Source organism: Homo sapiens, chromosome 8 (assembly GCF_000001405.40).
Source record: "Homo sapiens chromosome 8, GRCh38.p14 Primary Assembly".
Lineage (NCBI taxonomy): Eukaryota > Metazoa > Chordata > Mammalia > Primates > Hominidae > Homo > Homo sapiens.
The window spans coordinates 36388028-36408214 of NC_000008.11; the positions used below are offsets into that span (position 1 = coordinate 36388028).

At 37.4% G+C, this 20187-nt stretch overlaps 1 annotated feature.

Moving 5' to 3' along the window:
* Positions 5676–6327: an enhancer, noted in NCBI's record as "H3K27ac-H3K4me1 hESC enhancer chr8:36251221-36251872 (GRCh37/hg19 assembly coordinates)". NCBI's record gives its function as "activates a minimal SCP1, AML or CMV promoter by ChIP-STARR-seq in primed H9 embryonic stem cells {active_cell/tissue: H9 hESC(primed)}" and the evidence as "EXISTENCE:reporter gene assay evidence [ECO:0000049][PMID:30033119]".

The following is a 20187-nucleotide window of genomic DNA, read 5'->3' on the forward strand; positions in this document are numbered from 1 at the left end:
TTCCTCCTTCTCCTTCATTCTTTCAGAATATAAAAACTTTTCTTACTTAGATCACTGGTCATACAAAAACAAGCTGTAGGCTGAATTTGGGGCATAGGCTACATAGTTTTCCACTTCCTGTCCCAGAGCCTTGCTACTCAGTGTGGTTCACGAATCAGCAGCATCAGTAACATCTTGGATCTTGTTTGAAATGTAGGATATCAAACCCCAGTCTAGACCTACTATATCAGTAAAGTATCACTGTGCAGTAAATTACCACAAAACACAGTGGCTTAAAACAACAGTCATTTATAATTGTTCATGAGTATATGGATTGGCCAGGAGGTTCTTATCATCCTGGTTAGGTTCCCTCATGCATCTACTACAGTAACCAGCAGGTGAGCCAGATGGCTCTGCTTCTAGATGTTTGACTATCATCTGGGGTACCTTGGTTTTCTTTCATGTGGCCTCTCATTCTCCAGCAGGTTAGCTTGGGCTTATTCCGTGGTAGTTATAACATTCTTTTTTTTTTTTTTTTTTTTTTTTTACAGCTTCTGCTATTATTCTTTTTTTTTTTTTAATTATACTTTAAGTTTTAGGGTACATGTGCACATTGTGCAGGTTAGTTACATAGGTATACATGTGCCATGCTGGTGAGCTGCACCCACTAACTCGTCATCTAGCATTAGGTATATCTCCCAATGCTATCCCTCCCCCCTCCCCCGTCCCCACCACAGTCCCCAGAGTGTGATATTCCCCTTCCTGTGTCCATGTGATCTCGTTGTTCAATTCCCACCTATGAGTGAGAATATGCGGTGTTTGGTTTTTTGTTCTTGCGATAGTTTACTGAGAATGATGGTTTCCAATTTCATCCATGTCCCTACGAAGGACATGAACCCATCATTTTTTATGGCTGCATAGTATTCCATGGTGTATATGTGCCACATTTTCTTAATCCAGTCTATCATTGTTGGACATTTGGGTTGGTTCCAAGTCTTTGCTATTGTGAATAATGCTGCAATAAACATACGTGTGCATGTGTCTTTATAGCAGCATGATTGATAGTCATTTGAGTATATACCCAGTAATGGGATGGCTGGGTCAAATGGTACTTCTAGTTCTAGATCCCTGAGGAATCGCAACATTGACTTCCACAATGGTTGAACTAGTTTACAGTCCCACCAACAGTGTAAAAGTGTTCCTATTTCTCCACATCCTCTCCAGCACCTGTTGTTTCCTGACTTTTTAATGATTGCCATTCTAACTGGTGTGAGATGATATCTCATAGTGGTTTTGATTTGCATTTCTCTGATGGCCAGTGATGATGAGCATTTTTTCACGTGTTTTTTGGCTGCATAAATGTCTTCTTTTGAGAAGTGTCTGTTCATGTCCCTCGCCCACTTTTTGATGGGGTTGTTTGTTTTTTTCTTGTAAATTTGTTTGAGTTCATTGTAGATTCTGGATATTAGCCCTTTGTCAGATGAGTAGGTTGCAAAAATTTTCTCCCATGTTGTAGGTTGCCTGTTCACTCTGATGGTAGTTTCTTTTGCTGTGCAGATGTGCAGAAGCTCTTTAGTTTAATTAGATCCCATTTGTCAATTTTGGCTTTGGTTGCCATTGCTTTTGGTGTTTTGGACATGAAGTCCTTGCCCACGCCTATGTCCTGAATGATAATGCCTAGGTTTTCTTCTAGGGTTTTTATGGTTTTAGGTCTAACGTTTAAATCTTTAATCCATCTTGAATTGATTTTTGTATAAGGTGTAAGGAAGGGATCCAGTTTCAGCTTTCTACATATGGCTCGCCAGTTTTCCCAGCACCATTTATTAAATAGGGAATCCTTTCCCCATTGCTTGTTTTTCTCAGGTTTGTCAAAGATCAGATAGTTGTAGGTATGCGGCATTATTTCTGAGGGTTCTGTTCTGTTCCATTGATCTATATCTCTGTTTTGGTACCAGTACCATGCTGTTTTGGTTACTGTAGCCTTGTAGTATAGTTTGAAGTCAGGTAGTGTGATGCCTCCAGCTTTGTTCTTTTGGTTTAGGATTGACTTGCCGATGCAGGCTCTTTTTTGGTTCCATATGAACTTTAAAGTAGTTTTTTCCAATTCTGTGAAGAAAGTCATTGGTAGCTTGATGGGGATGGCATTGAATCTGTAAATTACCTTGGGCAGTATGGCCATTTTCACGATATTGATTCTTCCTACCCATGAGCATGGAATGTTCTTCCATTTGTTTGTATCCTCTTTTATTTCATTGAGCAGCGGTTTGTAGTTCTCCTTGAAGAGGTCCTTCACATCCCTTGTAAGTTGGATTCCTAGGTATTTTATTCTCTTTGAAGCAATTGTGAATGGGAGTTCACTCATGATTTGGCTCTCTGTTTGTCTGTTGTTGGTGTATAGGAATGCTTGTGATTTTTGTACATTGATTTTGTATCCTGAGACTTTGCTGAAGTTGCTTATCAGCTTAAGGAGATTTTGGGCTGAGACGATGGGGTTTTCTAGATAAACAATCATGTCGTCTGCAAACAGGGACAATTTGACTTCCTCTTTTCCTAATTGAATACCCTTTATTTCCTTCTCCTGCCTGATTGTCCTGGTCAGAACTTCCAACACTATGTTGAATAGGAGCGGTGAGAGAGGGCATCCCTGTCTTGTGCCAGTTTTCAAAGGGAATGCTTCCAGTTTTTGCCCATTCAGTATGATATTGGCTGTGGGTTTGTAATAGATAGTTCTTATTATTTTGAAATACGTCCCATCAATACCTAATTTATTGAGAGTTTTTAGCATGAAGGGTTGTTGAATTTTGTCAAAGGCTTTTTCTGCATCTATTGAGATAATCATGTGGTTTTTGTCTTTGGCTCTGTTTATATGCTGGATTACATTTATTGATTTGCGTATATTGAACCAGCCTTGCATCCCAGGGATGAAGCCCACTTGATCATGGTGGATAAGCTTTTTGATGTGCTGCTGGATTCGGTTTGTCAGTATTTTATTGAGGATTTTTGCATCAATGTTCATCAAGGATATTGGTCTAAAATTCTCTTTTTTGGTTGTGTCTCTGCCCGGCTTTGGTATCAGAATGATGCTGGCCTCATAAAATGAGTTAGGGAGGATTCCCTCTTTTTCTATTGATTGGAATAGTTTCAGAAGGAATGGTACCAGTTCCTCCTTGTACCTCTGGTAGAATCTGGCTGTGAATCCATCTGGTCCTGGACTCTTTTTGGTTGGTAAACTATTGATTATTGCCACAATTTCAGCTCCTGTTATTGGTCTATTCAGAGATTCAACTTCTTCCTGGTTTAGTCTTGGGAGAGTGTATGTGTCGAGGAATGTATCCATTTCTTCTAGATTTTCTAGTTTATTTGCGTAGAGGTGTTTGTAGTATTCTCTGATGGTAGTTTGTATTTCTGTGGGATTGGTGGTGATATCCCCTTTATCATTTTTTATTGTGTCTATTTGATTCTTCTCTCTTTTTTTATTAGTCTTGCTAGCGGTCTATCAATTTTGTTGATCCTTTCAAAAAAGCAGCTCCTGGATTCATTGATTTTTTGAAGGGTTTTTTGTGTCTCTATTTCCTTCAGTTCTGCTCTGATCTCAGTTATTTCTTGCCTTCTGCTAGCTTTTGAATGTGTTTGCTCTTGCTTTTCTAGTTCTTTTAATTGTGATGTTAGGGTGTCAATTTTGGATCTTTCCTGCTTTCTCTTGTGGGCATTTAGTGCTATAAATTTTCCTCTACACACTGCTTTGAATGCATCCCAGAGATTCTGGTATGTTGTGTCTTTGTTCTCATTGGTTTCAAAGAACATCTTTATTTCTGCCTTCATTTCGTTATGTACCCAGTAGTCATTCAGGAGCAGGTTGTTCAGTTTCCATGTAGTTGAGCGGCTTTGAGTGAGATTCTTAATCCTGAGTTCTAGTTTGATTGCACTGTGGTCTGAGAGATAGTTTGTCATAATTTCTGTTCTTTTACATTTGCTGAGGAGAGCTTTACTTCCAACTATGTGGTCAATTTTGGAATAGGTATAGTGTGGTGCTGAAAAAAATGTATATTCTGTTGATTTGGGGTGGAGAGTTCTGTAGATGTCTATTAGGTCCACTTGGTGCAGAGCTGAGTTCAATTCCTGGATATCCTTGTTGACTTTCTGTCTCGTTGATCTGTCTAATGTTGACAGTGGGGTGTTAAAGTCTCCCATTATTAATGTGTGGGAGTCTAAGTCTCTTTGTAGGTCACTCAGGACTTGCTTTATGAATCTGGGTGCTCCTGTATTGGGTGCATATATATTTAGGATAGTTAGCTCCTCTTGTTGAATTGATCCCTTTACCATTATGTAATGGCCTTCTTTGTCTCTTTTGATCTTTGTTGGTTTAAAGTCTGTTTTATCAGAGACTAGGATTGCAACCCCTGCCTGTTTTTGTTTTCCATTTGCTTGGTAGATCTTCCTCCATCCTTTTATTTTGAGCCTATGTGTGTCTCTGCACGTGAGATGGGTTTCCTGAATACAGCACACTGATGGGTCTTGACTCTTTATCCAATTTGCCAGTCTGTGTCTTTTAATTGGAGGATTTAGTCCATTTACATTTAAAGTTAATATAGTTATGTGTGAATTTGATCCTGTCATTATGATGTTAGCTGGTGATTTTGCTCGTTAGTTGATGCAGTTTCTTCCTAGTCTCGATGGTCTTTACATTTTGGCATGATTTTGCAGAGGCTGGTACCGGTTGTTCCTTTCCATGTTTAGCGCTTCCTTCAGGAGCTCTTTTAGGGCAGGCCTGGTGGTGACAAAATCTCTCAGCATTTGCTTGTCTGTAAAGTATTTTATTTCTCCTTCACTCATGAAGCTTAGTTTGGCTGGATATGAAATTCTGGGTTGAAAATTCTTTTCTTTAAGAATGTTGAATATTGGCCCCCGCTCTCTTCTGGCTTGTAGGGTTTCTGCCGAGAGATCCGCTGTTAGTCTGAAGGGCTTCCCTTTGAGGGTAACCCGACCTTTCTCTCTGGCTGCCCTTAACATTTTTTCCTTCATTTCAACTTTGGTGAATCTGACAATTATGTGTCTTGGAGTTGCCCTTCTCGAGGAGTATCTTTGTGGCGTTCTCTGTATTTCCTGAATCTGAACGTTGGCCTGCCTTGCTAGATTGGGGAAGTTCTCCTGGATAATATCCTGCAGCGTGTTTTCCAACTTGGTTCCATTCTCCACATCACTTTCAGGTACACCAATCAGACGTAGATTTGGTCTTTTCACATAGTCCTGTATTTCTTGTAGGCTTTGCTCATTTCTTTTTATTCTTTTTTCTCTAAACTTCCCTTCTCGCTTATTTCATTCATTTCATCTTCCATTGCTGATACCCTTTCTTCCAGTTGATCGCATCGGCTCCTGAGGCTTCTGCATTCTTCACGTAGTTCTCGAGCCTTGGTTTTCAGCTCCATCAGCTCCTTTAAGCACTTCTCTGTATTGGTTATTCTAGTTATACATTCTTCTAAATTTTTTTCAAAGTTTTCAACTTCTTTGCCTTTGGTTTGAATGTCCTCCCGTAGCTCAGAGTAATTTGATCGTCTGAAGCCTTCCTCTCTCAGCTCGTCAAAATCATTCTCCATCCAGCTTTGTTCCGTTGCTGGTGAGGAACTGCGTTCCTTTGGAGGAGGAGAGGCGCTCTGCGTTTTAGAGTTTCCAGTTTTTCTGTTCTGTTTTTTCCCCATCTTTGTGGTTTTATCTACTTTTGGTCTTTGATGATGGTGATGTATAGATGGGTTTTCGGTGTGAATGTCCTTTCTGTTTGTTAGTTTTCCTTCTAACAGACAGGACCCTCAGCTGCAGGTCTGTTGGAATACCCTGCCGTGTGAGGTGTCAGTCTGCCCCTGCTGGGGGGTGCCTCCCAGTTAGGCTGCTCGGGGGTCAGGGGTCAGGGACCCACTTGAGGAGGCAGTCTGCCCGTTCTCAGATCTCCAGCTGCGTGCTGGGAGAACCACTGCTCTCTTCAAAGCTGTCAGACAGGGACATTTAAGTCTGCAGAGGTTACTGCTGTCTTTTTGTTTGTCTGTGCCCTGCCCCCAGAGGTGGAGCCTACAGAGGCAGGCAGGCCTCCTTGAGCTGTGGTGGGCTCCACCCAGTTTGAGCTTCCTGGCTGCTTTGTTTACCTAAGCAAGCCTGGGCAATGGCGGGCGCCCCTCCCCCAGCCTCGCTGCCGCCTTGCAGTTTGATCTCAGACTGCTGTGCTAGCAATCAGCGAGATTCCGTGGGCGTAGGACCCTCCGAGCCAGGTGTGGGATATAGTCTCGTGGTGCGCCGTTTTTTAAGCCAGTCTGAAAAGCGCAATATTCGGGTGGGAGTGACCCGATTTTCCAGGTGCGTCCATCACCCCTTTCTTTGACTCGGAAAGGGAACTCCCTGCCCCCTTGCGCTTCCCAGGTGAGGCAATGCCTCGCCCTGCTTCGGCTCGCGCAGTGTGCGCACACCCACTGGCCTGCGCCCACTGTCTGGCACTCCCTAGTGAGATGAACCCGGTACCTCAGATGGAAATGCAGAAATCACCCGTCTTCTGCGTCGCTCACGCTGGGAGCTGTAGTCCAGAGCTGTTCCTATTCGGCCATCTTGGCTCCTCCCCCCAGTTGTAACATTCTAAGAAAGGAAATGGCCTAGAGGTAGCATAATGTAACTTTCGTCATATTCTGTTGGTTAAAGCAAACCACAGGCCAAAGTAGATTCAGATAGAAGGCAAAGAGCTTCTATCCCTTGTTGGTAGGGGCTGCAGAGTCATGTTGTGAAGGACATGGGCATAAGGAGAGATGCAGAACTGTGGCCATGTTTACAATCAGCCACTCCTACTAAATCAGAATCTCTGCATAGTAGCAAGATTCCCAGGTTGTTCATAGGCATATTGAAAGAGATTTGTTCTAAGTATTTTCACAGTTATTTGCAGATTCCAGTTTTCCATTCTTTCCTCCTGAAACAGTTCCATATTCATGTTCAGTATCCAACATATTTATGTTAGAATATTTATTATTCTCAAAAAACAACCAGAAGTCAGACAGGGCTCAGAATAGGTACTCAGACACCTAGCATCAACCAGGAAAGAGAGCGAATTCAAACTATTGCAGCTCCAACTGTAAGAGAGCGTATTCTGTCAGGCGGCACAGTGCTACGCAGCTTAATTTCCTCTACACTCACCACCTGAATTCCTCAGTGCTTCAGACAGCATTGCTTCCCAGTCCAGGATGGTATTTTTCTGTGACCTTCAGCTTGTGAAGGAGGTGTTTCCATTGACAAATTGACGTTTACCTTGTAGTTACATAAGGCCAAATTCTATGTATGAGCCATTCGTGTGTCATAAACATGAACAGAGAAGCCCTCTGAAGCAATAGATGAATAACGATGAAGACTTTTCTCTGAATATGCTGTAAAGACTCTTCCTTCCTACAAAACTTGAATGGATTCACAGCACAAATAGAAGAGTGCTAATTTATGATATGTTGCCTGATATCTAACAGCACAGGCTTCAAATCCAGACTGCCTGGGTTCACATCCTAGCCCTGCTGCTGACTATGTGTAACCTTGGGCAAATTACTTAATCTCTATGTGTTTTAGTATTTTAAGCTGCGAAATGAGAGTAGTAGTAGTCACTCATGCATATAGGTCTTAGGGGATTAAGTTACTTGCTATTTGCAAATAATCAGAAGAGTATTCCATTATTATTATTAATATAATTATCACGACTATTTCTTATCATCAGAGAAGTCAGTCGGTCTGTATACAAAGAAATACTTTCTTGAGATTGTAAGTGAATAATAAAAAATTTTTAACTAAAAATTTCTTTTCTTTTCTTTTTTTTTTTTTTTTTTTGAGATGGAGTCTTACTCTGTCGCCCAGGCTAGAGTGCAGTGGCACGATCTCAGTTCACTGTAACCTCCAACTCCTGAGTTCAAGCAATTCTCCTGCCTCAGCCTCCCAAGTAGCTGGGATTACAGGTGCACGCCACCGTGCCTGGCTAATTTTTGTATTTTTAGTAGAGAAAGGGTTTCTCCATGTTGGCCAGGCTGGTCTTGAACTCCCGACCTCAGGTGATCCACCCTCCTCAGCCTCCTACAGTGCTGGGATTACAGGCATGAGCCACAGTGCCCAGTCTGAAAATTTCAATCTTCTTTTCTTGGCAGAATCCTTAAACTTTGTGTATTAGTCAGATTTCTGCGACACCATAATATTCTGGATGTATATGGATGTATATATATCCTGGGTTTAAAGAAACATTCCATTTTCCATAGTTGGTAATACTTCTAAATCTTAACCTATGTAATTATGCTGTTTGCAAATGTGACAGCTCTGGATACTAGCACAACTGCAATACCATGCTGTTACTTAAAATCATAATGGTCATAGTTATTCTAATTAGTACTCTTATTTGTGGTTTGTTTCCACACAAACTTTCCCTGGGGGTAACGTTAGTTACCACCCTTGACTCTTGTTCATGTTGACCAAGGGGTTGATTCATCACAGACTTGTAATCTACAAGCAATATGCAGAGCTTGGGGAGGGGGTGTGGTAATAATAGAATACAGAGCAGAAAAGTTGGAAGGAAGAGAAAAGTGAGAAGGAATGACAAAGGCTAATGCTCAGCATCTATAGCAGTTTTTTTAAATAAATAATTTATATGCTCAGTCTACATTTAGAGATTTAAACAGTCACACAGTAAAATATTTAATATCAACCACGAGTGGCCCAACGTAATTCTCTCTAAGTGTCATTAGCATGAGAATAAGACATCTCTAATTCTCTAGCAAGAGAGCCCGGCACATAAAAGGAAAGGAGTATTAGGTGCTATTGAAATGAGCAAACTGTACCAACTACACCATGAGTGTAGATTCCTCACCAAATGCATTAGAGTCATAAATTGTTTTTATGAAGCTACAAAAGTTCTTTGGGCAAGCCTCTGAAGTTGGACAAAAATAGTGATCGCCAGAAAACTACATGGTCTTTCTTATATTTTGGTGCCATATATGTTGTTAAAATTCTTCAGTTACAAAAAGAAAAGGCAGCATCAACAATATGTAGTTTTCACCTTGAAAAATAAATCGGTCTCAGTAGCTTCTGACCATCTGTCCACCATATGTGAAGACTTTCTAACAAAAGAAAGCCTCTCCTCTAACAATTATTTTGTGTTAATTTATTTTCTTTTATGTAAAAGTAAGTTTTGTATAAATATAGATTTTATGGATATAGAATTAACGCATGTCTGAGGTAGAGAATTTAGAAACTATAAAAAATTAGAAAGATGAAAATAAAAACTAGCCACAATCTAACTACTCAGAAAACCACTTTAAATATTTGTACGTAACTTATCTTAGTATTAAAAAATTAGGAAATGTTAATCATATATTCCCTCTTGATTAATGATAAAAGATAATTAAATCATTCCTGACTAAATCATGTCTAAAATGATAAAAATGAACACTCTTATTCACTCTCTGAATCTCAATAGATCAACATAGTACTTACCCATTTAAAATATTTTTTATTGAAGCATAATAAAAACCTAGAAAAATGCACAAATCATAGGTGTACAGCTTAATGCATTTCAATGAAATGAACATCCTAGTATATCCAGCATCCAGATTAAGAAGTAAAACATCACCAGCATCATACATGCCTCCTCTTTTGTCCCCTTCCAGTCATTACACCCTCTGCACTATCCTGACTTCTAACACTGCATATTACTTTTGCCTGTTTTTGAACATTATATCCATGGAATCATATGACGTGTCTATTTTGGGGCCTGGCTTTATTCTATCAACATTAGTTAGCAGATTTCCATTTTTTTGTAGTATGTATTTTCCTGTATATAAAAATATTATATGTGACTACAATTTCAATATGATTAATGTTTAAAATTCAAGGTTTTTAAAAATATATTGCAACAAGGCCGGGCACAGTGGCTCATGCCTGTAATCCTAGCACTTTGGGAGGCTGAGGCAGGTGGATTGCCTGAGTTCAGGAGTTTGAGACCAGCCTGGGCAACACGGTGAAACCCCATCTTTACTAAAATACAAAAATATTAGCTGAGCACGGCAGCTTGTGCCTATAATCCCAGTTACTCGGGAGGCTGAGACAGGAGAATCGCTTGAACCCGGGAGGCAGAGGTTGCAGTGAGCCGAGATTGCGCCATGTCACTCCAGCCTGGGTGTCAGAGAGAGACTCCATCCCAAAAAAAAAAAAAAAAAATATATATATATATATATATATATATACACACACACACACATATATATAGCAATTACTTGAACTGACACACAAGAAATAGTAAGCTGCTAATTCAGGGTTTTATGATCAATTACCTAGATTAGGGGTGTCCAAACTTTTGACTTCCCTGGGCCACATTGGAAAAAGAAGAATTGTTTTGGGCCATACATAAAATACACTAACACTAATGATAACTCATGAACTAAAAAAAAAAAAAAAAACACAAAAAAATCCCATAATGTTTAAGAAAGTTTATGAATTTGTGTTAGCCACATTCAAAGCTGTCCTGGGCCACATGTGGCCCACAGGCTATGGGTTGAACAAACTTGTTCTAGATCTTCAAGAATGCACTTGCCTGATAAAGGCTGATATAATAAACTGAAATGCATGCTTTTTGATCTTCTTATGTTTGTCTTTTATCATCAGACTGTGTTTTCCTCTTTAAAAGGCAGTGGAGAGAAGTGTTACTTTGAACATTAATTCTTTGTTGAGACTCTAGTGAAAACATGAGAGCTAGAAAGAAGCACATCCTACAGCATAATATTTCAGAGCTAGAAGAGACATTAGGTATTAAGTCTAAGCCCTCTGGACTTGGGGCTAAGACAAGGTAAGTTTACTAATGTCACACAGTTGTTAGAGGCAATGGCCCTGCCCGACATTCTCTCTAACATGACTTGGTATCTCACAATTTTAGTTTGGATTGATTGGGAAACATTTGCTGAGAAAAATATAATAATCTTACATTTGGCAGCTTCTCTATACCTCTTGCTTAGTTTAATGGTCAGCTTTATTACTCTATGTTTTAAAGAATGGTACCGGAAAAAATTAAATAGTGTAAAATCATGTCATATTTCACTGCAAGTTCACAGGTTTTATCTAACTCAACACTTATTTTACAGATGACAAAACTGAGACCATAGAGATTAAATTTTGGTTGAGTCATCTTGACAGTATAAATCTGGTATCTTCTTTGTTTTTTCAGAATTCTTCTTTTTGTGCCAGTCGTTATTACTCTATTAGTGTTGGAAGCAAATTTCACGTTTCCATTCCTCCTTGCTCCTATTCCCACCACCTGGTGAGCTACCTCCAGGAAGAAGATGGTGCTGTTTTTCTTACCAGGGCATCAGAACTCCAACCTTAAGTGCAAGCTGTATTTACCACCACTTTTGAGGCAAGACCAAACATGCTTGATGAGCTCAGGTGGCAAACTTACCAAAAGCCTACTTATGGGGTTGGGGAAATTTGGGAAGATTAGAAGAATGCACACGTATCTAAGAGGGAAGACTATTTAGAGAACTGCATAAGTTATGTCTAAGACTTTTTTTTTTTCCTTAAGAAATTAGGCTCCAAAACTTAGTCTGCAACTTCTGGAGAGAAGGATTTCAGGCAGAAGCTCAAGGAACTCTTCTACACAACTCTATGAGCTGGGCGATCCCAAGCCACACACATTCACACCCATCCATCTTGTTTCCTAGGCTCCTACCACAGAGTTTGAAAATGACAAATAATTTGGCACTCTCCCCTAAAGTTAGTGATGGCCATGTGAGCCAGGTCTGACCAATATTCCTTCATAAAAAGAGAAACGTCTATTCAGACTTTCTGCCTACTTTTAAATTCACATTATTTGGAGGTTTTCTTTTTTCTATTAAGTTGCTTGAGTTCCTTATCTATATTCTGGTCATTAATCCCTTGTTGGGTGAATAGTTTTCAAGTATTTTCTCCCACTCCATAGTTTGTCTCTTCACTTTGTTGACTGTTTGCTGTGTAGAAGCATTTTAATTTGATGTCTTCCCATTTGTCAGTTTTTGCTTTGATTGCTGGGAAGCGTTGTGGGAAGGGGTGGAAGAATAGTAGTTGGTTAATGGGCACAAATACATTGTTAGGTAGAAGAAATAAGATCTAGAGTTTGATAGCACCATAGGGTGACTACAGTTAACAATGATTTATTGTGTACTTGGAAATAGCCAGAAGAGAAGATCTGGAATGTTCTCAACACAAAGAAATGATAAATGTTTGAGGTGATGGATATTTCAATTACCCAGATTTTATCATTATACATTGTATTCTTGTATCAAAATATCACATGTACCTAATACATGTGTATAACTATTATGCTTCTATTAAATGAAAACTAAAAAATCAAAAGTTGAAAAGGAGGCTAGAGGAAAGTTTGTTGCATTAAGAAAATCAGGAAATATATTGGCCAATGGAAGTGAAAATATATTATTAGTCAATATAATACTAATATTTTTTTTTAAAGAGAGAAATGTCTTCTAAGAATAGCTAGCCCTGTACTTCTTCCTTGCTTCCTGAGAAGTGTTAGAATATAATAAAAAAATAAAAAGGTAAAATCATAACTGTCATACAAATATAAAAAGAGCACAAATATCATTAATAAGGAAACAAATACAATGTTGCAAATGATTCAACGGAAAATTTAAAAAGCACACCTCAGAAATGTTAAAATAAATTTACAAATTGTTGCAAAACCATTATATATAAAAGTTGATAAGTGCATTCCACTGGACACAATTCATTTGCATTTCTGTGGACAAAAATCATGTGTAATATTTTCAGTGTTTTATAATTTACAAAATTATAAAGTAGCTGAAAGACAATGAAAGCTAAAAGGGTACAGTAGACAGGAAATGCAGTATTCTTTTTTGCTCATTTCAAAGTTTATAATTATCCTTGATAGAGGTTGTTGTGTGATAATGTGAAGTGCTGTGCTCCTGCAGTTACTATGTGACCAAAATAGGTGACATTGCCTACTGGCTAAAGAAAAACGAAAGGATGGGATGAGCCAGGCTTCCTGCTAAGAAATGTATTAAATGTCTGCATTACTTATTATTAGGTGATTTTTCTGCTACTTCAGCTGATGAAGAGTACTGTTTGTTTGTTTGTTTGTTTATTTATTTATTTATTTAAGACAGAGTCTCGCTCTGTCTCCAGGCTGGAGTGCAGTGGTGCGATCTCAGCTCACTGCAACCTCTGCCTCCTGGGTTCAAGCGATTCTCCTGCCTCAGCCTCCCAAGTAGCTGGGATTACAGGCACCCACCACCACATCTAGCTAATTTATGTATTTTTAGGAGAGACGCGGTTTCACCATGTTGGCCAGGCTGGTCCTGAACTCCTGATCTCGTGATCCACCTGCCTCTGCCTCCCAACATGCTGGGATTACAGGCGTGAGCCACCGCGCCTGGCCCAGTACTGTTTTATTTTTAGTGATACATGTAAACAGAGTGAAGAGAAGATGCTCCACACCTCTTGGGGAATACAGTGTTACTTCAGTGTTTGGAGGCCTGTGGGTGGCACTTCAACAGATTTTGGATTTGTGAGCTTGAGAAACAGCACTCTTAGGGCTAATATAGCTCAGTCCTGATGCACAACGAATAAGCAGGAATGTGAGGCACTTTTAAGAGGCTTCAAAGGAGGAGATATCAACAAGGGATCACAGAGCAGAGCAAAATCCACATTGCATGTTTTTAGAATGGACTATTTAAGAACACATGTGATCTATTCTGAAGAACTTCCAGGAATCACAATGAAATTTAGAAGAGGACTGGATGTCCTGCTTTGGCAGGCAAAGCCTAGAGCTATCAAAATATAAGACCTAAGAAAATCCAGGTTGTACAATTATTTTCAATCAAGATTTATTTCTTATATCATTAACAAAAGTTAAGATAATCTCCTGTTGGAATTTTTTTTTCTTTTTTGATATTTGAAATTTTTTAATAAATATTTTTTATAATATTTATATTTAAAATTCCCATTTTAGAAATGACAAATCGAAGCTCAGAAAATAGGATTGTCAGTCTCTAAATTCCTTCTAGATATGACATTCTCCATTTATGCAGTTCTACCCAGGTATAAATGCATTATCCTCATATCTGCACCACCCGTGGGAGGACTGAGACATCACAAACAGCAAGAGAGAAGACTTGACAGTTTAGCTTAGATTCATCTTGGCAAAGCAAGCCCACATTTGAACACAACTTTAGAATTGAACTGAGACTTTCTTTTCCCCAAATACTCATTGAAATATCTAATCAGCAAAATAAACGGGTTTTACCAAATGTTCAGAGATTACAAATTGTATTTAGCACTCATCAACAAATTAAAACATTTCTGTGGGATCTCTCTCTCAGCACCTTTACCAAAGATATATTCTTGCATTGAGATTTTTCTGATACTGTGCATTCATTATGTGTTTTTCAACTTAGAAGTTAATTTCAGGGGGTTGATGTTGAGGTCATTATTTATAATATGGTGACTCAAATTCCCATGGAGGCAGCTGTAAGAAATTTGGCTAAAGGTAGACTAGCACAGGTTAAAACTGTTAAAATCCAATTTTTTCATTTGAAATTAAAAAAGCAATGTCCCATCCATACCTAATCTAGTTGTCAAATATGCACATATATGGAGATGTACAGGTAAGACATAATATACAATTCAGTTCAATTCATAAATGTATTCAGAGATTTCTAAAAAAGAAAGATGTTATCCTAATGTCTGTAGGGACTGCTGAGGCTGAGGTAGACATTCTTTAGGCTCCTAAGAAATATATAATGTGGAGGTTGTATGTGTGTGAGAGAGGTGTAGAAAATATAGTTATACAAAATTATGTTATTAGATAGAGATGAATAAATGTCATCAAAGAAACAGGCTCTCTTGAAATGGATAAACCAGAAAATTTATAAACAACTGAGGAAATCCAAAAGACTTCATGGAGTATTTATTACTGTGATGAAGTCCTAAATCATTTGTAATATTTGAATCATCAGAAATTTTGGAAAAACACAGTACTGTAATTCTTAATAGTATTAGCTAAGGCATAAATACAAGAATGTGTGGACAAGTTCAGGGGAAGCATTTAGATCAATTTGAACGTCACCTGGAAAATAAGTTGGGACCATAATGTTGATTATTATGGTGAGTGACATGAGATATATTCAGACTACACATGGGAACCAATGGAGAGCTTTGGCACCATATGATCTGCACCTGAGAAAGATGATTCTGGCTATGGTGTAATTCTGTTAGATGAGATGGAAATACAAGGAGATTAACTGAGAAATGTTTTTACAAATATCATTTCATTGACACTAGAATTTATCACCATCAGTGTTTCTCTTGTTCCTACATAGTTTCACATCTTCCTAGATTGCTCATAATAAGGAAAATAAATGAATATTAAGTATTAGGCATTTGCTAATAAGAAATTAAAATAAATTTGACTATAGCCATTTCTATGACTTGGTGAATTCTTAAGTAGTCATAAAATATAGTGTTTTATGTTTCTAATCTGATAGAACCATTAGCATTCAGAAAACACAGTAGTAAAATTTTTGAAATAGATTTGGTAGCTCATGAACTAGAAGAGATATATTTATAATTAGGATTTTCTAGACACTGATCAATAGCCTTGAAATCTTTTCATCATTTGTCACCAAATACTCTTAAAATCATCTTAGATATAATTATGATTTCAAAATGGATCAGAAAAAACATAAAACAGTTGTCCCTCCTGTCAAATATTTCAAATTATGGTAAAAAATCTTAAGGAAATACATAATCATGCTCAGAAATAGAAGGGAAAATTTCAAGGCAAAAGAAGCTGTGAGATAGCCCTGGCCCTGGGTGATTAAATAACGATGGGACTGGACTGAAGAAGAAATGGCAATTCATAAGCATGAGGGTGTCTTTCAGGAGTTTCATTTTTAAAAGTTGACAGTAGTGTAATCTAATAAAAAGAAAAATTATTCCAAGTGGATAGAGAGATATATAGAAAGTGGTAGTAAAAATACAGATTAGTACATTTTACCAACTTAATAAAGCATTACTTGTTTAGAAAAAGGATTTCTTCTTGCCATCTAAGACAAAAAAAATTATTGTGTGAACATGGGTGGGGAGGTGGAGACTAAGATAGAAGTATAGCGATATTGATTAAAACAAATTTTATTGGAAAATATTAACTTCAGTACAAGTGCAACGTTAAAATGCTTGCAAGAATAGAAATCAAGCAATGTTTAAACCAATATAGAAGAATAGAATAAAAGAAATTTAATACATCTAAGCAAAGGCAGAAAAATGGACAAAGATAGAGAAGGCATGGTAAATGAAAAGACTAAGAAAAAAAAGAATGAGTCCAAAAATATTAGTAATTATAATAACTGTGACTAGGCTAAATGAATCTACTAAAATTTTCAGAGTAATAAAGCAAACCAAATTTTGCCACTTTCTGTTTACAAAAGACACTGTTCAAATAATAAAAAAAAACCATGTAAATACTCATATAGCTCTCACCACATGCCAGGTACAATTCCAGAAAGTAGACATTATTATTTCTGTTATAGACAAGGTAACTGGAGCACAGAGAGGTTAGTCACCTTGCTCTAACTCACACAGGTAGTAAGTAGCAGAGCCAGGATTAGAGCCAAGTTAGTTTGGCTTTAGAATCTTGTCTTTAATTTATTTACAACATAAATTGGTAAAAATGGTAAAAAGTAAGCTTATGCAGTAATATTATCACAGAAGATAAAATTTAAGGCAAAAACCTCAATAAAGGACAAAGGAAAATATTTTTTCAGTTATAAATGTAATTCACTAGTAACATATAAATCATGAAGCAAGTATGCATATTGCAATATTGCTTTAAAATGTACAAAGACAAACTAATACAACCTCAAAGGGAATAGTCAGTCCCACAATCAATATGTAAGAGTTTAATACATTTCTTTTAAAAACTGAGATATCAGATAGAAATAGAAAATAAGGTATTCTGAACTGGATGTGGACTAGGCTATATTGCATATGTTAGAGTTCATTACTCTCAAAATATCTGCTGCCTTCCTTACCAGTTCTTTCCTACTAGGCCCATCCTAATAGAACTATAATCCTTCTATCCCATTGACATCAAGCTTGGCTATTTGATGTGCTCTTTGGCCAAAGCAACAGAGTGGATGTGGCACATGCTGCTGCTTCTGGGCGCAAGTTTTAAGAGCCATTGTGCATACCACCAGCTCTGTTTTTCCCTATGCCGTGGGATCAGCAATGTCTCAGAGGGACTGCTCCTTCCTCCTGGGTCCAAGATGAAAATCCAAGGCCAAATCCATAGGCTAACCCACATAAGTAAGAGATGAGCCATTGCTGCTAAAGACCACCACAATTTTGGGGCTACTTGTTATAATGGCATACACTGATATTATCATACCAAGGTAATTGATGATACATTGCACTAGCAAATAATCCCCAAATTTCAGAGCTTAAAAAATGATTTTTTTTCTCATTCATGCTATGTGTTCCAATGTCTCAGCAGGGAGCTCTGCTCTGCACAGTTAATACCTGGGGAATCAGGCTGAGAGAGGCTCCACCATTTAGTTGTTGTTGTTGTTGTTATTTTAAGAGATAGTGTCTCACTTTGTGTCCCAGGCTGGAGGGCAGTGGTGTGATCATAGCTCACTGCTATCATGAACTCCTGGGCTCAAGTGATCCTCCTGCTTTGGTTTCCCAAATTGCTAGGATTACAGGCATGATCACCACACCTTGCCCTCCACCATCTTTGGATGCTACAGTCTCAAAGTGGGGCCCCAGGGACCACAGAAACAGCGGAAGACAGCACAGAGAATTGGGCACTAGCCATTTTGTTACCATGAAGAGGAACACATGTCACTTCCACTCACATTTTATTCTCACAAGCAAGTAACTTGGTTATGGCTGAGTTTAAGGGGGTAGGGAAATAAAATCTTCTAGTGTGTCAAGGAGTGGAGACTCGGAAATATTGATGAGAATATCAATACCAATGCATTGCTCACCAAACTCAACAAGCAGAGAATACATATTTTCAAATACACATGAAACATTTGAGAAATTTGAGCACATAGCATGAAGAAAAAGAACCTCAACAAATTCCAAAATATTGATATCATATAAACCAAACACCAGACATGTCTGATGAAATATAATTAGAAATCACCCCACAAAAGATATCTTAAAAATATATTTTAAAACACTGTTTTGTATAGTTAAAAAATTGAAGAGTAAAGTGAAGATGAACATTAAATACTTAGAAAAGTGAACAAAGGATATAATACACATAAAATATGTAGAATAGAAACAAAGATGAAAATTAACAAATACCTAGAAAAGTAAACAAGGGATGCAATATACATTAAATTTATAGAATACAAACAATGCAATACTCAGGAAAAACTGTGCCATATTAAATCAGTTTTTAAATAATGGGAAAATAAATGATAATCTTTTAATTTAAAAAATATATTAAAATAAACTAAAAGAAGAAAATTATAAAGAAAAATTGAAAATTAAGCAAATGGACATAAAATAAGAGTATATAAACAGAATCAACTTTTTAAAAGATTAATAAATTCTTGAGAAGTATGCTGAAGGAAAACAAAAATAAAAGCACATGTAAACAGTAGCAAAAATGGAAATGTGATTTAAGAAGAGGCAGCAGGCTGGGCACAGTGACTCATGTCTGTAATCTCAGCACTTTGGGAGGCCAAGGCAGGAGGATCGCTTAAGGCCAGGATTTTCAGAACAGCCTGGGCAACACAGCAAGGCCCTATCTCTATTTATTTTTATGGTATAATCAATCTTTTTATTCTCCTTGGATCATTTCTTTAAGATGAATGTATGTGATACTCAAAGATTTACCACTCGAAACACACCACTCATAATTTATAGATGAATTCTGTAAAATGACATCAAAAAAGAAGGAATAGATGATTCAATATTTTTACAGTTCTTCTAGAAAATTTAAAAAGATGTATAAAAAGATAAATTGCTACCCAACTCACTTTACAAGCTAGCATAACCTTGATATGGAAACAAAAATAAAAATTAAAATATAGGACAAAATAGCTTAAAATGTGTTGCAGACAACATAATCATCTGCCTTGAAACTTCAACAGAATCAATTGAAAAAAAAACTATATTGGAACTAAGACATGGCCTGATGCATAATCAGTACATAAAAGCCATTACCTTTGCATACTCCTGAAAGAACACATTCAAAATTGTAGCAAGGAAAAAAAAGATTCTATTTACTGAAGCTACAAAAATGTCAAAATATCTTGAAATTAACTTAACAAAAATGTATTAGGCCTTTATTCCTTATGGAGACAATATTAAATTTATTGAAGGAATTAAGAGATCTTAATAAAAGGAAAAAAGTCAGAGTTCAATATTCAATATTATGATAGAAGCAGCACTTCAAATTAGTGGGGAGACAAATTATTCAATAAATGTTCCTAGGAAAATGTAAAATCTTATAAAAAGTAAATCCTCACATCACACCTTCAAAACAATAAATTCCACAGGGAATAAAGACACAAACACACACACAAAACAAATCCTTTAAACCCTCTGAAAGAAAATATTAAAAACAAGTCATAGAAAGCAAGAAACATAAAAAATAAAAAATGGTAATATTTTTATTCCGAGGAAGATTTACTTTTTTATTTTATTTTCTTATTATTATACTTTAAGTTCTAGGGTACCTGTGCACAACGTGCAGGTTTGCTACACATGTATACATGTCCCATGTTGGTGTGCTGCACCCATTAACTCGTCATTTAACATTAGGTATAACTCCTAATGCTATCCCTCCCCCCTCCCCCCACCACACAACAGTCCGTGGTGTGTGATGTTCCCCTTCCTGGGTGCATGTGTTCTCATTGTTCAATTCCTACCTATGAGTGAGAACATGTGGTGTTTGGTTTTATGTCCTTGCGATAGTTTGCTGAGAATGATGGTTTCCAATTTCATCCATGTCCCTACAAAGGACATGAACTCATCATTTTTTATGGCTGCATAGTATTCCATGGTGTATATGTGCCACATTTTCTTTTTTTTTTTTTTGTCTTTTTTTTTTATTATACTTTAAGTTTTAGGGTACATGTGCACATTGTGCAGGTTAGTTACATGTGTATACATGTGCCATGCTGGTGAGCTGCACCC